The sequence below is a fragment of the Homo sapiens genome, chromosome 9, assembly GCF_000001405.40.
Source record: "Homo sapiens chromosome 9, GRCh38.p14 Primary Assembly".
NCBI classification, from domain to species: Eukaryota; Metazoa; Chordata; class Mammalia; order Primates; family Hominidae; genus Homo; species Homo sapiens.
Genome location: NC_000009.12, coordinates 65,214,341 through 65,238,904, shown reverse-complemented (window position 1 = coordinate 65,238,904; position 24,564 = coordinate 65,214,341). Strand labels below are relative to the sequence as shown.

Below are 24,564 nucleotides of genomic sequence, written 5' to 3'. Positions count from 1 at the left end.
GCCAGGGAGGTGGAGGTTTCACTGAACCATATTCACACCACTCCGCTCCAGCCTGGGCAACAGAGCTAGACCTTGTCTCAAAAAATTAAGTTAGTTAAATTAAACATAAAGTTGCATTGTATTTAAGAAATTGGGAAAGCAGAAAATGCTTCTGTTTTTCTTTTGAGTTGAACAATGAGAACACATGGACACAGGGAGGGGAACATCACATACCGGGGCTTGTCAGGGGGGTGGGAGGCTAGGGGAGTGATAGCATTAGGAGAAATACCTAATGTAGATGATGGGTTGACGGGTGCAGTAAACCACCATGGCATGTGTATACCTATGTAACAAACCTCCACGTTCTGTACATGTATCTCAGAACTTAAAATGTAATAATAACAATAATAAAAACCTCAAAAAAAGGAAATGCTTCTTCTTAGAACAGATTACATACCCTCATTGCTTTTTATAATAGCCTGTAATAACAGAATATCCACAAGGTGGCAGTAATATATCAGTTTCATCCTCTGAAATTAAAACTTTTGCCTATTCAGTAATACAATGGATCTTTTGAACTCACTCTAACACGTAGAATACAGCAATTTGACTTAATAATTAGCCTTTAAATTTATAGTCTTGTATTATCACTTTAGTAGTTTGAATTATTTTGTATTTTAATATATTTAAATGAATTAGTCCTATAGAAATTGACTAATTTGACATGTGAAGGTGTTTTTATTCTATTTTCAGAAGTTTAGCTTTAAAAAAATTTCTAAACTTCGATATCTGGTGAGTGTCAATGTTTTTATCTTATTAAAAGCTGACAGACCACACTATATTCAACTGATTTTTTTTTAACAAGGATGCAAAATCAGTTTAAAGGAAGGATATCTTTTTCAACAAATGGTGCTACAGCAATTGGACATTCACAGGTACAAAAACTAAGACTGACCTAAATTTATACTTTATATAAAATTTAGCTCACATAAATCACAGGCTTAAATGTAAAATGTAATATTATAAAACTTAAAGTTGTGTATGGTAGCTCGTGCCTGTAATCCCAGCTACTACTCAAGTGGCTGAGGTGGAAGCATCACTTCAATCCAGCAGTTAGTGGCTGCAGTGAGCAATGATGGCACCACTGCACTACAGCTTGGGCGAAACCTCGTCTCAAAAATAATTAATAAATAAATAAATTCACTAAACTTTTTAAAATAGAAGAAAACTCTTGAGACCTTGGGCTAGGCAAAGAATTTTTAGGCTTGATATTAAAAACAAAATCTACAAAAGGAAAAAGTGATAAAACTGGACTTCATTAGAATAAATAAACACTTTTTTTTTTTTTTTTTTTTTTTTTTTTACTTAGAAAGACCCTGTAAAGAGGTTGAAAAAATGAATTACAGACTGGGAGAAATAATTTGCATACCATATATCTGACAAAGAACTTACATCTAGCATATGTAAAAAATTCTCAAAACTCAATGGTAATAAGATACCAATTAGAAAATAGGCATATGTGACCTCTCTGTATTATAACTTAAACCTCATGTGACTACAATTATTTCAAATGAAATAAACAAAACAGTAATGCCTGTTTCTGGCATATAAAATAATCAGAGAACATAGAATTGTACGAAGTTAAATTATTGGGCCATTTACTTAATTTAAATATTTTTAAATGCGTGTACCCATTTTGCTTGAAGGTGTGTGCAAGTATGCTTGTATTTTTTTAACGATAATATGGTCACATGAGCATTAAATTTATTTTTTAAAAGTTTATAGTTACCCCACACAAGTTCTTATTGATTCCCTCATTCTTAACACCTGCATAGTATTTCATTTTATAATTAATGGATTGTAGGTTTATTCTTTTAAAATCACTTGTGTTGTTCTCATTTTTTTTTTCACTAAAAAGTGTTGCAATGCACAAAACTAAAAATATAAGGAGGGTCTTTTCTGGATCTCTGTTGAAAAACTTTGAATAAAAATTACAAGTTCAAATCACATGCAAAATAAACATTTTAATTAATCGGGCTTTTATGCAAGATGTTAGTAGCAGTAGCAGCACAGTTTTATTAAGATCCCTGAATCTCTCACAAAAACTGACTGAGCAACTGGGATAACAAGGTATTAACTACGACAAAACAATGTAACAGGGTGTCATCATGGACGTTTTGTGAGGTTAAACCACAGGGACCCAGGGGAATCACCAATTTTTTTGGAAGAAGGAAAGGAAAGGAAAAAAATGTTTAATGGCCCTGGGAACTGGAAAACCTAGAAATACAAGTGCTAACATCTGTGTTCCTAAATTCAGAGATTCTTACTAGGCAAAAAGAACTCAGCAGATTAATCTGAGAACAGCAGCTGAGGCTGGCAGAAGGCTTCCTGGGCCTCAACTCATAGCTGAGAGTGAGGGTGGCAAAAAGCAGTGCTGTGAGTGGTCTGTTTCCTATGAACCCTACAAATTAACCACCCCCAAAACAAAGCCCTGTCCTAAGGAGAAACTGCAGGAAGTCAATTATAAATTGAGTTGGGAAGCACACTGAGGCTCAAGAAAAGGGAAGCTCCAGGTTAAGATGCAAGAGAAGAAGGGAAAAGGCAGTTTTCTGCAAGTTCAAGCACAAATAATTTCTTTACCTTCTAGTTCTGGAAATACCAGGTGCTGTGTATGTAAAGCAGGAATTTTGGTTGAATATTATATAATTTTCTGACCCACTGTTACTAATCCAGTTTCCCCTGTACTCAGATCTTCCATACTACAGACAGACCTGACAGATGCTCAGCAAATAGTAGCTAATATTTTCTAGGAAACTATGTGCTAAACGAGTTTTCTTAAATTTCTACCTCCAGGTCTGTAAGTTGATTTGAAGCATTACCAGTTTCTGGTTCTGCACAGGTTGTTGAGCGCAGGACTTCTCTCCTCCAGTGGAAAGTCCACCTGCTCACAATCAACCATCCTTTCCTGCAGCCTTGGAGACACTACTCAGTGTAGCATGCCTCCCAGTCTAGAATAGGCACACTCATCATCAGTCTCTCTCATTTTCTGTCTTATCTCCATTCCATCTACATACAGTTTTTGTTTTCACCAATGTTTTTAAATAAACAATTGTACAAGCACGACGACAACAGAAACCTTCCTTCCCCCAGTGTTGTAGTGAGCAAGGAATATATTTAACTTCAAATAAAAGACAAGAACAAATGCTGGATAAAGCTGACAGAAAGAAATGCAACTGTAGGTGCTCTGGCAATATAGAAATGATACAACTAAGAAAAATGGAAGAAAAGGAAAGAGAAAGTATTCCTCAGAATGATTTTACTGACTGCTCATCTGTAATGCCTGGGAGTCAAAGGATATTGTTTATAGAAATGTAAGCATACTTAATGGCACCAGGGGAAACAAAGTTAATATGATTAAATCAAATTGTGGGATGAAAAATCACATAGGGAGGACAAGAAAGAGAATACAGCTAATACCATTGTTCTTAGTTTAGAGACATTAGCTACTGTCTAAAGAAAGAGATGATTTTATGAAATTACATAAGGTAGCCATCAGAATAAAAGTTTAACTCTTCCAAATATCACAACATCAAAACAAAAGCAATAAAACAAGACAGCAAAAGACAGATATGTGCATATAAATCATAGCATAATATACTGTAATCAAAATATAACCAAACACAATTTATCATTAAAAGTAAGTGGGCTTGACTCTTATTAGAGGAAAAAATATTGTCAGATTAAATCAAAAAGCAAATCTCAATTCTATGCTGGATATAAGATAAAGTGTTACAGAAAGTTTAGAAATAAAAGTATAGGCAATGAATAAAAGGATCTTCTCTTCATGCGTTAGGAGTATAAAACAGTAAGTAAACACATCATATGTTTTCTGTTTTTACACTTAAATGGCTGGAGATGTTACACCACTAGTATGAATTTACTTCAGATATATAAAGGATACACTTTTATGTGGTTAGAAACAGCAATGATAATAGTTAAGGTGAAAATAACATCTGCATTGAGGCTAGGAAGAAAGAGCCATTGTTGGGTACATAGTGATCGTATTACCATGGAGCAATCTGTTCCCAACTGAAATGTCCTTGACCTTCTACTGAAATCATGTAAGATTCTGCAAAAGTAGTGTTTACTTCCCACAAATCAGCCATTTGTGGGAATGGCTGCTATTGTTGTCCACACGGAATGAGCATCAGACCTATATTTAGCTGTTGTTTCATTAAGAGTCGTATTTGGCCCTTTCCAGAGGCCGTTATTTCAATTACATTTTGGAGAATTAGTCTATTTCCAGACAAATAATTTTTCCAGAACTTTGATCCATATGAAATGTCCCTTTGGTAGGGATCCAGGGATTGAGTTTATTTTTAATTACTGTAGCATCCTGGTCAGGTTGAGAAACAGATTACCTTTATATTTCCCTGGCATGTAAGCAGGGCTAGATTTAGCGTGAGAATGCTTGAAAGTTTATAGTTTTTTAGAAATTTTATTTACTGTGTGTCTCTTTATCAAAATAAAATTAATGCTGAAAAGCTATATTAAATGAATTATTTTGAGATGGTCTCTTCCCCCTTCTTCCAGTGAGAGGATATCCACAGATATGTCAGGAGCTTGCTTTACCTAGAAATGTGTTGAGGGCCACAGGTTTGGGTTCACCTAGGAATGTTTAGGGACACCTCCCCAAGTTGTTGTTGAAGAGTGGGGTAAATGTAAGATAGAATTAGGCTCACGGAGGCCAGATGAGAGCATCATATCACCCCAGAAACATAGCATATACCTAGGAGATCTGTTCTCAGTATCAAAGTCTTAAGCACTGTAAGATTGCCTATAGACCAAGACAACAACTATATATATATATAGTTAATAAAATCAGTTAATATATAAACATATATTTATTAACTTATTTTTATTTTTATCTTCAGACAGCATCTTGCTCTGTCACCTAGGCTGGAGTGCAGTAGTGCAATTAAGGCTCACTGCAGCCTTGACCTCTGGGGCTGAAGCTATCCTCCTGCCTCAGTCTCCTAAAGTGCTAGGATGAGAGGTGTGAGTCACCTTGCCAGGCCCAGGGCAATAACTATGCAATGTTTATATAATTTGGAGCAAAAAATATTTGAAATATGTGTGCATTGCTTTTTAACCTTTTCTACTGATTTACTTTATTAAATACTGAATAGAAACAATATATTTATAAAATATTTATTTTATATATATAATAAGCACATAATGAACACCTGTGTCTCCAGTCTTGGTTTAAGAAATTAAGCCAAAAGTAATCATAAGTGCTTATGATTACTTTTGAAGTCACCTGTACAACTTTTGCTGACTACATCCCCTTCTTCAACACTCTAACGATGGCCACTGTGAGCACTGTGTATATTGAATTGTGTTGTATTTTAATACCGTGTGCACTACTTTGTTTTCCTAGCTGTATGCTATTGCATTTAGTGAGCATAATGAATTATATCAGTATAATTCACTTTTGTCATTTCATTGTTTCAGCTCTTCTGTACTAATTATTGCCAATATATTTCTACTGGCATAAAAACAGACACATAGGACAGTGGAACAGAATAGAGATCGCAGACAAATCTACACATTTACAAACAATTCATCTCTGACAAAGGCATCAAGAACATACACTGGGAAAACAACAGTCTTTTCAATAAATGATCCTGGGAAAACTGAATAACCATATGCAGAAGGATAAAATTAATCCCATCTCACCATACACAAAAATCAAATCAAATAAAAATGGATTAAAGACTTGAATCTGAGACCTGAAACTATGAAGCTAGTAAAAAAAAAAAAAAAATAGGAAAGGCCGGGCGCGGTGGCTCTTGTCTGTAATCTGAGCACTTTGGGTGGCCAAGGCGGGCGGATCACAAGGTCAGGAGATCGAGACCACCCTGGCTAACACGGTGAATCTCCGTCTCTACTAAAAATACAAAAAACAAAAAAAAAAATTAGCGGGGCATGATGGTGGGCGCCTGTAGTCCCAGCTACTCGGGAGGCTGAGGCAGGAGAATGGCGTGAAAAAAGAAAGAAAGAAAGAAAGAAAGAAAGCATAGGAGAAATGCTCCAGGACATTAGTCTGGGCAAAGATTTTTTTGCGTAAGACCTCGGAAGCACAGGCAACAAAAGCAAAAATAGACAATGGGATTATATCAAACTAAAAAGCCTCAAGCAAAGGAAACAATCAACAAAGTGAAGAGCCAAGCACAGAATGGGACAAAATATTTTCAAACTATCTATCTGACAAAGGGTTAACAAGTAGAATATATAAGGAGCTCAAACAACTCAATAATAAACAAACAAAAAATCTGATTGAAAAATGGGCTACTGAAGAGGCTGAGGTAGGAGGATTTCTTTTTTTTTTTTTTTTTATGAGATGGAGTCTCACTGTCGCCCAGGTTGGAGTGCAGTGGCGTGATCTCGGCTCACTGCAGGCTCTGCTCCCCCAGGGTTCACGCCATTCTCCTGCCTCAGCCTCCTGAGTAGCTGGGACTACAGGCGCCCGGCACCAAGCCCGGCTGATTTTTTGTATTTTTAGTAGAGATGGGGTTTCACCATGTTAGCCAGGATGGTCTCGATCTCCTGACCTCGTGATCCGCCCACCTCTGCCTCCCAAATTGCTGGGAATACAGGCGTGAGCCACCGCGCCCAGTCAGGAGGATTTCTTAATCCCAGGAGTTTGAGGTTACAGTGAGCTATGATTATGCTACTGCCCTTTAGCTTGGGTGACAAAGCAAGACCTTACTTCTCAAAAAAAATAGTTAAAAATATATAAATAAATACAATTTAAAAATGGGCTAAAGATCTGAACAGATATTTTCTCAAAAGAAGACAAACAAATGGCCAATAGGAAGACAAAAAATATTCAGTATCACTAATCGTCAAAGAAATGCAAATCAAAATCACAATGCAATATCATCTCACCTTGGTTGAAATGACTTGTTTCAAAAAGACAGGCAATAACAGATGCTGGCAAGGATGTGGAGAAAGGGAAATACTAGTACACTGTTGGTGGGAATCCACATTAATAAAGCCACTATGGAGAATAGTATGGAGGTTCCTCAAAAAAGTAAAAATAGAACTACCATGTGGTCCAGCAATTTCTTTACTGGATGTATATCCAAAATAAAGGAAATTAATGTATCAAAGACATATCTACATGCCGATGTGTACTGCAGCACTATTCACAATAGACAAAATATGGAATCAACGTAAGTGCTCATAAACAAATGAATAGATTTTAAAAGTCATATATATACATAATGCAATACTACTCAGAAACAAAGAAGAATGAAATTCTGTCATTCACAGCAACATAGGTGGCACTGGCCATTTGGTTTAACGTAATGAACATAGGCCATTATGTTAAGTGGAATGAGCCAAGCACAGAAAGGCAAATACCACATGTTGTCACTCATATGTGGGCAGTAAAAAAGTGGATCTCATGGAGATAGAAAGTAAATTGGTGGTTGCTAGAGGCCAGCAAGGGGAGTGGGAAGAGGAGATTAAGAGAAGAAAATATAAATGTATTTATCACCACTAAACTGTCCTCTAAAAATGTACAGATGGTAAATTATATATATATATATTTTAACTCAATAAAAAGTTAAAAAAATTCTGCTGTGTGTTTATAGGGCACATGTACAAGACTTTCTCTAGGGTTGTATCAGTTTTCTATTCCTGCTGTAACAATTTACCACAAATTCAGTGGCTTAAAAGAACACATTTTTGTAAGATTTGAGTCAGTTTTAAAAAACACACACAGACTTATTGTCTTAGAATTGTTTTGGTTGGAAATCTGGCATGGCTCTCACTGAACTAACATCAAGATGTTGGCAGGCTGCATTTCTTTCTGAAGGCTCTAAAAGAGCATCTGGGTTGTTGGCAGAATTCAGTTCCTTGTGGTTGTAGATCCTCAGTTTCTTCCTGGTTGTAAACTTTGGGTCATTCCCAGCTTCTAAAGGTCACTGGCTTTTCTTGGCTTGTGGCCCCCTACCACTGTTTTAAAAGCCAGTAATAGCAGGCCACATCTTTCTCATACTGCCATCTGTCTGAATCTCAGCATCCAGAAAATATTCTCTGCTCTCAAGGAATTATGAGATTAGACTGGCTCACCAAGGTAATTCAAGGTAATTTCCCCATTTCAATGCCCTTAATGGTAATCACATCTGCCAAGTCTCTGAACATGCTAACTTACGTTAGCATGTTCACCTTATCTGAAGACTGGGATGTGGCTGTCTTTGGTGGGGGGCAATTATTCTGCCTAACCCAAAGATACACAACTTGCAGATATACAACTAGTTCATGGAGATGAAACATTTTCAAATCTACAAGAAAATGTTTTCTAAAATGAGCATTGCGTATTAGACTTTCACGAGCACTGTATCAGACTTATATTTACTTCATAATATTGCCAATACTGATATCAGATATTTAATTTTCTAGCCAGTTCAGGATAATGTGAATTGTGAATAATATATTTGTTCATCCAGTCAACAAACATTTTTTATCAGATACCACCGATATGCTGGACAGTGTCATGGATCCTAAAAATATAGCTGTTATTATTATTTTTTTAAACAAAATCCCCACTGTGATAAAGCTTTTATTCTTTGGGACAGGCAGACAGTAATCCAGATAAATAAATGCAAGGGAAAATTGGGGGAAAAATTGGAATGGAGAGCTCAGAATCTGGCCCCAGAGAAGGGCAGAGGGAAAGGGGACCCAGTTCAGAATCTCGGTGCGTCCACACCAAACAATTCCATGAGGGCTGAAGAGACAGAGCTGAAAGGCTTGTCTGACATCACAAAAGACAGAAAAGTGAGCCCCATTTTCATCTCTATCCTGACAATGTTCCTGGCTTGATTTCCTCCTTCCAGCAGACAGAAGAATCAGGGAGCGCACCCTGATGGTAACATTTTTTTCAGGGGCCTATTTTGGGGATCCTGGTGAGAACCTGAGTCCGTCACTGTCCACGGCAGCCCAGCATGGTCCCCAGTGCGTGGTCCAAGGCCAAGATTCTCTACCTCCATCCTGGAGGCAGAAGAAATGTCTGGGGGAAAATGAGAGGTTTTAGGTGGTTGGCACTGGGTGAGACCAAGGAGAAATTTTAAAGCTGTGTGTCCTGGGGCCGGGGGTGGTGGCTCACGCCTGTAATCCCAGCACTTTGAGAGGCCGAGGCGGGCAGATCACGAGGTCAGGAGATTGAGACCATCCTGGCTAACGGTGAAACCCCGTCTCTACTAAAAATACAAAAAATTAGCCGGGCTTGGTAGCGGGCGCCTGTAGTCCCAGCTATTCGGGAGACTGAGGCAGGAGAATGGCGTGAACCGGGAGGCACAGCTTGCAGTGAACTAAGATCGCGCCACTGCACTCCAGCCTGGGTGACAGAAAGAGACTCCTTCTCAAAAAAATAAAAATAAAATAAAAATAAAAAATAGAAAAAGCTGTGTGTCCTGTTTCTTCATATTTTGCAGATTTTTGATGTCAAAATATTTTCATAGTCAAAAGAGTGTTAATAAAGAATGACTTCTCTGTTATAAAAACCCTAATAGTGAATGTATTTACCAAGAAATTAGATTCTATCTTTGGTTTTTTGTTTTTTGCCCCGTAGTTTTTAAAAAAATAGTTTTATTGTGTGGATATTCTACAGTTAGTGTATCTATTCACCTCTTGATGGACATTTGGTTTGCTTCCAGTTGTTTTTGCTATTTCAAATAAAGTTGCTACGAATGTTTGTCCAATCGTTTGGACATACACTTTCATTTGTCTTGGGCAAATAAGCAGGATTTGAATGACTAGGTGGTGTGATATGTTTAACTTTTTTTTTTTTTTTTTTTTTTTGAGACGGAGTCTCGCTCTGTCGCCCAGGCTGGAGTGCAGTGGTGCATCGCGGCTCACTGCAAGCTCCACCTCCCGGGTTCACGCCATTCTCCTGCCTCAGCTTCCGGAGTAGCTGGGATTACAGGTGCTCGCCACCACGCCCGGCTAATTTTTTGTATGTTTAGTAGATATGGGGTTTCACCGTGTTAGCTAGGATGGTCTCGATTTCCTGACCTCGTGATCCGCCCGCCTTGGCCTCCCAAAGTGCTGGGATTACAGGCGTGAGCCACCGCTCCCAGCCAGTTTAACTTTTAAAGAAACTGACAAAGTGGCTGTATTTCCAGCAGCAGTATATGAGCATTCCTGTTCCTTTGTGTTCTCACCAATGTTTAGTATGGTCAGTCTTTTAAATTTTAGCTATTCTAATAGGCAAGTAACAGTATCTCATTGTGGTTTTAATTTACATTTCCCTAATGATGAATGATGTGCTTATGTATCGTCCATCTGTATTCTATGGTGAAATGTCTGTTCAGATCTCTACATTTGTGTTAGACTATTTGTTTTCCTATTATTGAGTCCTGAGAGTTCTTTGCATATTTTGGATAACAAATGTATCTTCACCAGATATAGCTTTTGTAAATTTTTACTCCCAGTCTGTGATTTGTCTTTTTATTCTCTCGATAGTGTTTTTCTTTTTTCTTTTTTCTTTTTTTTTGACAGAGTCTGGCTCTGTCACCCAGGCTGGATTTCGGTGGCACGATCTCGGCTCACTGCAAGCTCCGCCTCCCGGGTTCACGCCATTCTCCTGCCTCAGCCTCTACGAGTGGCTGGGACTACAGGCGCCCGCCACTACGCCCCGCTAATTTTTTGTATTTTTGGTAGAGAGGGGTTTCATCGTGGTCTAGATCGCCTGACCTCGTGATCCACCCACCTCGGCCTCCCAAAGTGCTGGGATTACAAGCGTTAGCCACCGCACCTGGCCTCTGGACAGTGTTTTTCACAGGTCAGATTAATTTTTATATAAATCATTTATTTTATTTTTATTATGTAAAATTTTATAATTTTTAATTTTATTTTTAATTTCCTTTTTAAAAGTTAAATAAAATTTTAAGTGTAATGATGCAAAATTTTGTTTAAAAGTAAATGTATATAAAAATGTTGATATAGACTAAAAAATTGAATAAGTAAGAAGGTAGTTAGTTGTCACAGTAGGAGTGAAGTGAAAAGCTTCCCCTTTCACCCTCTGAAGATTACCGGAAATGAACTGACCATACACAGATTAATAAAAGAAAGGGTATACAAACTTACATAACCTGCAAAAACATGAGAGCTATACACAAAGTATAAGACTTGAAGATGGCTCAGATCTTAAACGCTCTCCTCATAGGCAATAGATATATAGACCCAGGATGCAGACATTATTTTGTAAATAATTTCCTTTGGAAGCTGGATGGGACAGACAAATTACAGGAAGGTGAGAGATGGAACTGCACAGGAAAAAAGTTTGTCTTTGTCACTTTAATCTTATCATTACTAGAGAATATTTATGAATATTTTAGAATAATATATTTTTAAGCCCAAATCTCACCAAATGTTTTTTCTAAAACAAATACTTTTTGTTGTTGTTTGTTTTTGTTACTGTGTCTCACTCTGTCACCCAGGTATGGAGTGCAGTGGTGCAACCATGGCTCACTGCAGCCTTCACCTCCTGGGCTCAAGTGATTCTCCTACCTCAGCCTTCCAAGTAGCTGGGCTACAGGCATGCACCCTCATGCCCTGGTAATTAAAGAAAAAAAAATTTCGTTAGAGACCAAGTCTCATTATGTCACCCTGGCTAGTCTTGAACTCCTGGAATCAACTGATCCTCATGCCTTGGCTTCCCAAATTATTGGGATTATAGGTGTGAGCCACAGTGACTGACCACATATTTCTATACTTCACTGAGGAAAGGAAGGTGCTAGGAAAATTGGTTAAGAACTATTTTTTAAAAAGCTATTAGTAGTGTTTTATTTTATTTTTTAATGATTGATTTTTGAGATTGGGATCTCACTATGTTGCCCAGGCTGGTTTCACATTCCCAAGTTTAAGCAATACCCCTGCCTCAGTCTCCCAAGTAGCTGGGATGACAGGTGTGTGTCACCATACCCAGCTCCATTAGTAGCGTTTTTAACAATTGTGGGCCACTGAGTAAGAATAATTTTTTTTAAATTAAAGGTTATTTTTTAAAAAGCACATTTGTAGAAAATTACTAGCATAATCTGCCTAAAATAAATATACATATTGAAAAAATCTTTGCTCCGAACAAAAAGAAATATATTCACCACACATACATACATATACACACACACACATGCACACACGCACACACACACACACACACACACACACATTATGGAAGATTTCAAGACCAGGCAATAATTTCCACTCAATCCAAAAACAATGCAATCCCAGAGCTGAATATTTAGGTGAAAATATATCAGGAATGGGAGGCATTCAGGTTTAATTTTCATGTTTTGGTAGAGTTAGGATGTGAGTTTTCATTTAAAAATATTCTTTATTTTTTTTGCTACTATTGTGGTTTCTGTATTGTTACTATACAATCTGTAAACTAAATAGTAAAGGAGAGAAAAGTGATTTTCAAAGAAGCTGGCTTGGGAACAGGTACTATTCTGGGAAGATGAAAGGTTTCACTTAATGACTGGTACCTGTGCCACTCTGGTTATTTTAACTGTTAACCTTTTAGCAAGAGGTTTTTCTTTTAAAAGACATCCTTTAATATTTGGGAAGCTAGTGCAATAGTACACATTGAGGCCCACATACCACATGCCAAATATTTAAAAGGCACATTTCTAGCTAACCACTGTACATACATATATTTTTTCTTATTTTCTGATTTTAGTTTTTTTCCTTGTCAACAATTTATGTCCACACATATCTTCTATCATCCCACTTTGACAAGTAATATTATACCTTCAAAATGATGTGGAAGACTAGATTGGAATTTAGAACCGTAGAACCTTGTAATTGTACAGGCAAGTTTCTTCCTGGGAAAAAATAAAACAGGAAGAAAAGGCTGGGCAGCCTCTGGTTCAGGAAGGAAATTCAGGAGTCCCTTATAGCAGCATCTCTAGTACTTGGGAACCGAACAGACTTCTCGGCCTGTGAGGCTGGAATGGGCCCTTCTGGAGAACACGACAGAGAAGTTATCTACTGCCTTTGCCCCCAGGGCCCAGGCAACACTTTTACCCTCCATTGTTTCCGAAGTTAAGGGGAGGAGACAATGTTTTGTTTAGTGACCTCGACAGAAAAAGTGTCCTCCTGCAACCACTCATTTGTTACTTTCCTTCTTCCTGAATTGCCTGGACCCACTCCTCCTCCATTTGACTGGCTCTGTGCACTGATCTTATAGTCAGGAGATTTTTGGGAATTGTGGCTTCTAAAAATGTACACCCGACTCTACCCATAGCTGGCCCTGTGAACCTACACACCTGCTCCACTGTGTATCCTTCTCAAAGAGACACTCTTCCTGCTGAGTCTCTGCCCTCTGCTCCTAGATCCAAATGGCATCTCCTACCCTATCCCTGTATGGTTTAACCCAGGGAAACTCTTTCCCAGAGGAGTCAGGTAAGGAGACAGTGGCTGAGCTTCTTACAGACTTAAAGGAGACATCCTGGAATTTAGGAGTCAGTCCTTCCTTTCTGTAATCCCTGGCAGCTTCTGCTGCTGCTCAAAGTTTAGCTTTGTCTCTCATCCAGCTCAGACTTTTGCTGGTCCTGATGGCCTCTGCTTAGCTGTATTAGTACGCTCTTGCATTCCTATAAAGAAATACATGAGAAATACCTTTAGTTGGCTCACAGTTCCATAGGCTATACAGGAAGCATGGTGGTTTCTGCTTCCGGGGAGGCCTCAGGAAACTTTTACTCAAGGTGCAGGGCAAAAAAAAAAAAAAAACAACAACAACAAAAAAAACTACCAGCACTGCACTGTGAGGCCCTGATCCCTGAGCTAACTTCATATTATTACCTCTACAGCAAGTGTCCGTGAGAACATAGATATATTTCTTATGTGAGTACACAATTTACAGAAGAGGAACTACCCTCCCAAACCAAAACAAAATGTCATAATTTTAATTTACCAGCAAACCTAGGTTGCTTCTGTGAAATGATCTCATTTGCTGAGTTTTAAAATTGACTAAATTTCCCAATTTCCAAATGAAAATATTTAGTTATCTTGTCTTGCTATGTGTTTTTGGTTAATATGATGATTAATTTTTGGTCTATTACTTAATATATACCATGATTGTTGATATGGATTATAAGGACTCACAAAATAGTTTTCAGATGTCTTTAATTTTTTTACTTAGTGTAGATCCTATAAATGGATTAGGAGTATTCTATTAACTCCCATGTATTCAGAAATCGAATTGGAGTGGTAAATTCTGTTTGAAGTAACAAGGGATATCAAAGGAAAAAAATAATTTTGTGACTATGTCTTCTATACGTAAATTTTTCAGGCATCTTTATCAATGGCTTATACTAAAGACATTTTCTGGATCATGGGTGACACACAGAAGACCTGTGGATAAGTGGCATTGTGTACACTACTGCATTTTATCATCTGGTTCATTTTTCAACTTTTATTTCTCTTAAGGATGTTTTATTAACTGGTGCATCACCAGGTTACCAGTCTCTGGAACACTAAACTTACCAGAAAATACTTGTTGATTGAATTAACAAGAAAACAACATTAGAAAACAGTGGTGGCTTGTTTTTGTCCATTGCAGTATCTTGGAGAGTAAAGCCTAACTCTTTAATTTTGGCCAAAGATATAAAGAAATACCTGAGAAACACCTTTAGTTGGCTCATGGTTCCGTAGGCTATACAGGAAGCGTGGTGGTTTCTGCTTCTGGGGAGTCCTCCAACACTTACTGGCAGGGTAATTTTGAAGAAGTCATAATAAGATGGTTGTTACAATTAAATGAAATAATCAAAGTGGAAGAGCTTAGTTAGCTGTCTTCCCTAAATGAATCACTGGCAAGTAAGAGTGTGATTGATTTTCCTACCAGTCAGGACTCACCCCTTGAAGCTATAGGAGGGTAAACCTCTGAAGACCATACAATTTAGGGAACACTAACACCTCAAAAAACTCTGTAAACTTCCTTCCTTCCTTTTCTTCCTTCCTTCCTTCCTTCCTTCCTTCCTCCTTCCCTCCCTCTCTCTCTCTCTTTTTCTTTCTTTGTTCATTTCTGAGACAGAGTCTTGCTCTGTCATTCAGGCTAGAGTGTAGTGGCTGGATTATGGCTCACTGCCGCCTTGACCTCCTAGGCTCAAGCAATCCTCTCACCTCAGCCTCCCTAGTAGCTGGGACTATTGGCATGCTCAGCTAATTTTTTTCTCCTTTTCTTTTTGTAGAGACAGGGTCTCATCATGTTGCCCAGGCTGGTCTTGGACTCCTTGGATCAAGCAATCCTGTTGCCTCAGCCTCCCAAAGTGCTGGATTACAAGCATGAGCCACTGTGCCCAGCCTTAAGTTTTTTTCATACAGGAGGAAAGAATTTGGAAAGTAGGTGTGTGTGTGTGTGTGTGTGTGTGTGTGTGTGTGTGTGTGTGTGTTGGTTAGGGAGCCAACACATTTTTCTGCAAAGCTTGAATTCTATGCCTCAGTTTTTCATTTTTGTTATGTGCAAAATAAAATCGTATCCTGCTATAGATTTAAACCTGTGAGCGAATCCTACTCAAAACCTGATTCAAACTTTGTGTAGATCTTTGCCTCTCTGTGGCATAAGAATAAATTCTTCTGGTTTTCTTCCCTCAGAAAAATGGACTTAGACTTCCCACAAGCCTTCCAGAAAGAACTCACCTGCCTCATCTGCCTGAATTACCTCATAGACCCCATCACTATAGGCTGCGGGCACAGTTTCTGTAGGCCCTGCCTCTGCCTTTGCTGGGAAGAAGCACACACTCCTGCCCTGCATGCAGGGAATTGTCACAGCAGGAAGATTTCAACCAATATTCTTCTGAGGAATCTAGTGTCCATTGCCACAAAAGCCAGTCTCTGGCAATTCCTGAGCTCTAATGAACAAATGTGCGGGATCCACAGGGAGACAAAGATGTTCTGTGATGTGGGCAAGAGCCTGCTCTGTTTTCTGTGTTCTAACTCTCAGGAACACTGGGGCACAGAAACACTGGCTCACTGAAGGGGCAGCTAAGGAACACTGTGTAAGTGATGACTCAGAGCACTTTGAAAGCTGGAGGGCAGCACAGGTAAAGAGATTAGGAGGAAGATGAAGAGCACGAGGATTAATCTATTCTTTACCGAGTGTCATGTACTGCCTAGGTATCAGTGATATAACTATTATCCTGCTATCAAATCTACTGATAAGTGGCTCATTTAACTTATAGGCACTCATCACAATGCAAGAAATCCTCTGACTGCTCCTACCATCATGGCCCCTAGCCATGATATGACTTGTCTCCACACTAGCAGAAACTAATCGAGTCCCTATATTAGGGATAAGTGGCATTTATATATATATATATAATTTTTATATATAATTTTTATATGATATATAAAACATAAATAAATATTTATACTATATTATATACATATATACATACATATATATATTACATACATATATACATATATATATATATATATATATATATCACAATGCCAAAAATGTTTTGTCTTCGAAATAATCACAGTGCATTTGGAGAGACAAATGCATCTACAACCAGGCGACAACACTGAAAATAAAATTGTAGCAGTTTGAATAGGGGATTAAATGAGTTAATTTTTTCCTGGGGTTCAAAAAAAGAAACAGCAGCAAAAAATGGTACTTAAGATTGAAAGTTGGCCGGGTGCAGCTACTCATGCCTGTAATCTCAACACTTTGGGAGGCCAAGGTGGGCAGATAACCTGAGGTCAGGATTTCGAGACCAGCCTGGCCAACACGGCGAAACAACACCATTACTAAAAATACAAAAATTAGCTGGGCATGGTGGCAGGTGCCTGTAATCCCAGCTACTCGGGAGGCTGAGGCAGGAGAATCTCTTGAACCCAGGAGGCAGAGGTTGCAGTGAGCCAAGATCACGCCATTGCACTGCAGCCTGGGTGACAAAAGCAAAACTCCATCTCAAAAAAAAAAAAAAAAAGAAAGTTCTGGGTTATGACACAGAACAAATGCAACATGAATATGTCATGGTTATGAACATGTAGACTACTCAAGATTGTGTATTTTTAAAATAATAGAATACTAGGTTAAAAAATGAGCATTACAGAATGAAAAATAAGCCACAAATTAGCAGAAGATAATTGTAACACATAAAAACAAAGGATTAAATACAATGGTAATGTAATGATAGCTATTCTTACAAAGTTGTTTCTATGTCTCAGGTACTATGCTGAACAACATACGTGCATCTTGAATGCGTGAAGAATTCCTATATAAGAAAAACACAAACAACAACATTTAAAATGAGCAAAAAACCCGAATAGGAATTTCACAGAAGAGAAAACATAAATGGCCCATAAACATAATAAAAGATACTCAACTACAATTCTAATCAGGGAAATAAATATTAAAACCCCAAAGAGATACCACTTCATACTCTAGGAAAAACCTAAAAGGCTGTGAATATCTAGTTTCATTGAGGAAGAACAATGGGAAGACTATTCACTGCTGGTGAGGGTGTAGATTGGTACAACTGCCTTGGAGAACAGTATGATGCCACTCAATAGAGCTGAACACACACATGCCCAATGACCAAGCAATTCCACTCCAGGTACATACTGGAAAAATACTCCTGCACAAGTAGAATAGGAGACACTGCATAACAAAGTTCACTACAACATGAGGCTGAGGTGGGAAGATGGCTTGAGACCAGGAGTTCGAGGCTGCACCAGTAGCTGGGACTATAAGCATGTGTCACCGTGCCTGGCTAATTTTTTGCTGTTGTGGTTGTTGTTAGAGATGAGGTCTTCCTTTATTGAACAAGCTGGTCTCCAACTCCTGGCTTCAAGTGATCTTCCCACTTCTGCCTCCCAAAGTGCTGGGACTACAGGTGTGAGCCACCATGCCCAGCCAAGTTCTGCTTCTTAACCTGAGGTAGATACTTTGATGTTTCATTTTCCTTTATTGTACAGATATACTTTATATTCTCATATGTGACACAAGTCAAAATTTAAAAAAACAATTTAATGTTTATTCCCTTTAGATGAATGATGGGCAAATTTACATAATGAATTCATTACTGAAACAATGTATAGATTTCAGACTAGGAAAGTAACTATTTATAAAAGAAAAGCTTAAAACCTGAAACAGAAACAAAATCCTGAAACTGTAAAATTGAGTCAAACTAAAATTTAAAAAACAAAGCAATGATATAAAGTATCATTTGTCCAAATGTGTTCTACAAAACGCTTTTTTCTTAAATATGTCTGAGGAAAAACAGGTTCTAGGAGTAAAATATGTTTGAAAAATGCTGAGTTAAACAACTGAACCTATGAAGGAAGGAATAGAACTTCTCAAGCTCTTGACTCTGGAATCTTTTTTACATGGCAATTAACACCATGCTTCTTCTTGGATTTGTATTTCAGATAAACACAATCTGGGAAACATTTTATAATACAGAGGGCCACACCAGATTGAATATTGCCCCCAGGAATGAAATGAAAACAGGAATGGATTCTCCAGTAAGAGGTACCCAGATATCCTAATCTTCAGTAGCTGACCTAAACCCTGGACAAGTGGGATCAAATCCCATAACCAAACACAACTTTTTAGGAACTAAGTGGATAATCACTCTGTGTTGTATGAACATGTGGGCAGTGTGTTTCCTACACAGCTTAAAAGTGCAACAAAAAAAGATCTAGGTGTCATATAAAGAATTTCTACCACTGTTAGGGTAATGGTGGACTGACAGGCAGAGGGGCTCAGATGTGACTTAAGTAAAGTTCAATAGAAGCTTCCAGCACAGATATTCATGTTTCAAATTGGACCGCTCAGTTAAAAAGTTTTCCCATTAGACTTCCCCTAATCAAATTAGAAATTATCTAATTTTCTAATAAAGTTTTCCCCAGGCACAAGGAATCTGTGAACTGGACCTAAAAAATTCTTCGTAATGTGCTTTTATTACCATAAAAGATGCACATTTATTTTAAAAACTTCTCTACACCACTATCATAAACCTTTGCACACACATTTCTTTTGGAAGCTAACTTCTGAGTGGTAATGAAATATATTCTTAAGAAAAAAGTCCGACACAATGCCTTTGCGTCTTAAAATATGTTAAAATATTATTTGAAAAGAGTCAAACATCTGTCTTTTCAGGGTATCACAGGGCGTCAAACTGGAAAATGTGGCACTGCCTGGAGTTTCTACCTGGTGAAGGGTGGCAGACTTTTCTCTTCAGAGGACTCTTGACAGGGTAGCATCCATTATCTTGCCAATTTACTACAACCTAGGCCCAATCCTCAGTCTTATAGGTTCAGAAATTTATTTTTATCAGCATCAACAGGGTAGCTACATTGCTTAGAAGCAAACAAAATTAACCATGCTTCAATAGAAATCAGGATATAGATGTATTAATACAGAATGACAAATATAACTGTGACAGAAATAGGAATGCCTGTTTATGGTCATATACGGCCAATACTTTCATTACAGCCAAACTCATATATGCAGCCAAATAAGAGGCCCCTGGATACACAGGGAATCAGAATAAAAAAAGAAGAACTGAACATTTAATAGTCTTCTTTCATTCAATCAATAATTTTTTTTAATTAAGCAACTACTATGTCTGGGTAACCTTCTAGGTCCTGGGGATACAGAGGTCTCTGCTTACAGAAGTCATATGTAAGTAGCAGGTGAAGAGTATGTGTTTCACAGAAGTTTATTACAATATATTAACAAGAGCAAAAAATTTTGGAAGCAATCTAAATGTTCAATAATAGAGCTCCAATTAAATAACAATAAATCCAAATAATGAAAAATAATGCAGCCCTTTAAGAATAAGCACTTGCAAGCCGTAATTCATGACATGGGAAAATTATCATAATGGAAAAAGAAGCAAGCTATATACAGTGCATGATCCTATACACACACATACATACATACATATTTCCTATCCCTTTATATGCATAAGAAAACAAGCGGGAGGAAAGTCGTATCTTTAGTCAAGTCTTGTTTACTAACGTACTATTAATGATTATCTTTTCTTTTTCTTTATACCTTTTTGCATTTTTCAATTTCCTAAAATAGCCTTACATGCCTTTTATCACCAGGAGAAAAATTACTTCTAAAGTAATTTCAGTCAACATGCATACTAAGAACTCTTCAGATTTATCTGTTAGAAGCTGTGCATGAATGCCAGTCCTTGCATCTGTCTTGGAACTCACAGAGAGCTCTTTTCCCATGGCTTTAAGCAATACTCAAAAAGACTAGCATACCTGAATTTCCTAGTCCTATGTTTTTTTCATCCAACAGCCAGTCTTGTATTTCTAGCTGTTTTCTAAACATTTCAACCAAACCATTTTACAGATAACTCATACAGTCATCCTTTGATATGCATGGGGAATTGGTTCCAGGATCCCCCTTGTATACCAAAATCCATGGATGCTCAAGTTACTGGTATAAAATAGTGTAGTATTTGCATATAACCTACACACATCCTCCTATATACTTTAAATAATCTCTAGATTACTTAATAACAATTAATACGATGTAAATGCTACGTAAATAGTTGGTATACCATGTTGTTTTTTATTTGTATCATTTTTTATCGTTGTATTGTTTTTTCTGACAATTTTGTTCCACAGTTGTTTGAATCAGTGGATGCAGAACCCATGAATATGGAGAGTCAATTGCATTTTATTATGCCCAAAGGTAAATGCATAATTTTTCCACACAGCTAATCTTCTAGCAACCCCATTGCTGTCCATGGCAAACAGGCTTAGTTAATCTCGCCCTTTCCCGTTTCAGGTTCATTATACACCATGGAATACTATGCAGCCATAAAAAATGATGAGTTCATGTCCTTACTAGGGACATGGATGAAGCTGGAAACCATCATTCTCAGCAAACTATCGCAAGGACAAAAAACCAAACACCGCATGTTCTCACTCATAGGTGGGAATTGAACAATGAGAACACTTGGACACAGGAAGGGGAACATCACACACCAGGGCCTGTTGTGGGGTGGGGGGAGGGGGGAGAGATAGCATTAGGAGATATGCCTAACATAAATGATGAGTTAATGGGTGCAGCACACCAACATGGCACACGTATACATATGCAACAAACCTGCACATTGTTCATGTGTACCCTAGAATTTAAAGTATAAAAAAAATAAAAAAATAAAGAAAGAAATAGATGTTCTGTAAAAATATACACAATTTTTACAGACAAATACATTTATAAGTTGTTTTTATCTTAAAAATTGGGGATATTTCATATTTATAACTAAATATTGAGCCTTAAGTTTTCTTGGCCATTTCTAGGCTAATAAACTAAGAATCATGTAAACTAAGCCAAAGTAGAATAGACATAAAAGTCCTGAACACTTCAACTTCCTATCCTTCAAGAAGTATACCTCGCAAAGCTCATTTGAGAGAGGAAAAGCTTTCCTCCACCCTCGGTTTTACAGTGCTGAGGCTTCTCATCACATTTCTATGACTTGTAGCTTAAATCCATGTTACATGGTCACTGGCATTGTTAGTGCTTCTCTTTTAACACTGTAGGAATTAATCAATTTGGTGGCATATTTAATTAATTCTATCACTAGAGGATTGTAAAATTACATATATGAATACCTCACTTTAGAGGCCACTTAATTTTTTTCCAAGGGGATATTTGACTATATTTCACTTGTGTCTTATTTAATGATTTTATAATTTAAACCCTAAATTATAAATCTAGAATTTAGAAAGTATATTTCCCCACTGGATTACATTTTTGGAAATATTACTTTATATGTGCACAAATATTACAAAATCACTGTAGACACCTGAAAACTATATTATCTTTTAAAGACAATATTTACATTAAACTGGTATAACAAAATTGTTTGGTGCATTTTTTCCAGTACATTTTGTGTATATTACATGTTTAACCTTTTTTTATTCAGCAAATAATTTTTGAGTATCTACTAAGTGCTAGGTTCTGCATTACTAACTGAATTTAAAGAGTGAAATAACAGACATGGTCTCAGACAATAAAAATTAACATTAGGTCACTTATTTATATATTTTTAAATGGTAATTATGAAAACTTTTTGAGATTTTTAACTAGATAACATTATAATAACGCACTTGATGTTGTTAATAGTTGCCAGTGAGCAAAAAAGAAAATAAAAAGATGGTTTTATTCAATATACACTTTAAAATTGCAGAAAATAGTCAAGTTTCTCTGCTTTGCAGTTGAATGTCTATGTGTTTTTCTCTGCAACTTGGCTTTTGTGGAGTGAAACAATTATTCTTCCAGCCCAATGAAGGCAGACGAGTAACAATAAATCTAATATTTTAAATGCTTATCAAAAGATAGTAAACACATTATTTCAGAATACTGAGTTCAATAAGTTGACCTACAAAAAAAGCCAAACTGACAGTATTACTGAATAAGGAAAGGCCCAAAGAGACAAAATACTTTTTATTTTGTAACCTCGGTATGACACAACTTACCCTAACTATAAAGACCCTAAATTACCAAGATGGGTGCTTATAATATGGAGAGTTACAAAGTCATTTCACTTTTAGCTTTTTTATTTCTCTCAGAATAAAAAGTGTATAAGGAGTTGATAAAGAAGTTGATACTATAAGTTAGTACTACAATGACAGCACTTTTCAAGAAAAGACTTTTTTCTCTCTTACAAATATCATGTTAGCAGTATTTGTTTTCTCCAGAAATAATGAGTAAATAAAAACATAAGTATGTGGGTAATTAGTGTAGTTTCTTAAATAAATGAGTTAGGCAACAGGCTAATAATGTATATTTCACTGGCTTTTCAATGCCAACAATCATATTCTTTATAAGGCACAGAGAAGATTTTTCTAAAGAATAAGTATGTGAACCTGAAAAGTAATCACCACTTGGTAGTGACAATATGGATAGGGTGAAGGGCGTCACCAAGAAGCAATGAAAAGATACATTTGCAGTTAAATTTGAAAACCATGATGTTTAATACATATAGTAATAAAGAATACTTTCTCCTGTCTCAAAATTATTTTAGAATTTAAGATAGAAGCTAAAATACCTAGGGATAATGATATGACTATCAAAAATTAAAAATTAAAGGATATTTTGAGTATTATAAATTAAGAATGAGAACTTATTACCCAATGAACAGGGGATAATTCATTATGCTCCATATCCATTGAATTAAAAGACAGGCCCATTACCTGGATAATTTGAAAGTTTAATTTTATTTAAAAGTCTTGTTTCATTCATCAAGCTAAAGGATTAGCTCCCAGAAATATTCCAGGATTGCATATCCCCAACTCTGTAGGAAGTATAGAAAGAATGTTATAAGGGTCACCATCTAAACATTATTATATAAATAATTTAGTACCATTCCATTTGCCTTTGTAGATTTAAAAATGTAAATGGCTTTCTCATATTAGGAAACATCACTTTTCAAAACCCAGGTAAACATAGTATATTGCAAGAGAATAATTATTTTCTTTATTAAAAAAGAAATACTGGATGCTAAGTCCAAAAGACATAAATTATTTTATACTAATAACTACTAATATTTTATTCATTAAAATATAAAGGTCAAAGATTTCAAAATGATCTTTAAATGATTAATAACATGTTGATCTTTTTCTTCTTTCTGTAAACCTTTTTGAGTCTTAACAATACTAAACTATACAAGCAATATTAAATAGTATATAAACTTGGATTAAAATATTCAAATTTACTAGAATGTGGACATTGGAAAGAATGAAAATAAACAGAAGCATAAAGCAGCAGATATAAAATTAAGAAAGCAACTAAGAGTGTTTAAAGTGCATATTCATCTGTAGTCTAATGTCTACCATAAACAATGACTCTTCTCAGTAAAACACAAATTGTTCATGAAGGGAAAAAGCATGTTGTATTGGAGCATATTCAACATAATTTTTTTAGTACTAACTTGTGCCTGGAGTATTATTGGTTTTTCTATTATGAACTTATGCACTTGATAATTTTTTTCATCAAAATTGTATGTACAACTCCATTCAAAAGCAGTTTTTGGTCGTTTTTTTTTTTTTTATTTTGAGACAGAGTTTTGCTCTTTTCACCCAGGCTGGAGGGCAATGATGCGAATTTGGCTCACAGCAACCTAGCAAATTTTGCCTCCCAGGTTCAGGTGATTCTCTTGCCTCAGCCTCTCGAGTGGTTAGGACTACAAGCATGCACCACCATGCCTGGCTAATTTTGTGTTTTTAGTAGAGACATGGTTTTGCCATGTTGACCAGGCTGGTCTTGAACTCCTGACCTGAGGTAATCCGCCCACCTTGGCCTCCCAGAGTGCTGGGTATGGGCAAGAGCCACCATACCTGGCCTCAAAAGCAGTTTTTAAAAGCAAACACAATATAACACCAAAGTTGAAAAATCCATGCTCACTCAAGGATGCCAGGTTTAATAAATTATTGATAGAATACTACATCAAAAATAAGACAATAAACCAAAATATACCATTAAAGATGTATCCACTCCTACAACTAGAGATAACTAATCTATCTGGTAGCAAA

General features: G+C 36.8%; 1 long non-coding RNA gene across 3 annotated transcripts; it reads left to right on the top strand.

Moving 5' to 3' along the window:
- The first annotated feature begins 8,050 nt into the window (after nucleotides 1-8,050).
- LOC112268045 (uncharacterized) lies at nucleotides 8,051-24,031 on the top strand. 3 transcript variants are annotated; one of them, XR_007061549.1, is made up of 3 exons: nucleotides 8,051-8,125; nucleotides 18,430-18,532; nucleotides 19,163-24,031. It is a non-coding gene; the product is annotated as an uncharacterized LOC112268045 (long non-coding RNA). The 3 variants fall into 3 exon arrangements; XR_002956883.2 differs by having other exon boundaries at nucleotides 8,054-8,135; XR_007061548.1 differs by lacking the exon at nucleotides 8,051-8,125 and adding an exon at nucleotides 15,304-15,390.
- The last annotated feature ends 533 nt before the right edge of the window (nucleotides 24,032-24,564 follow it).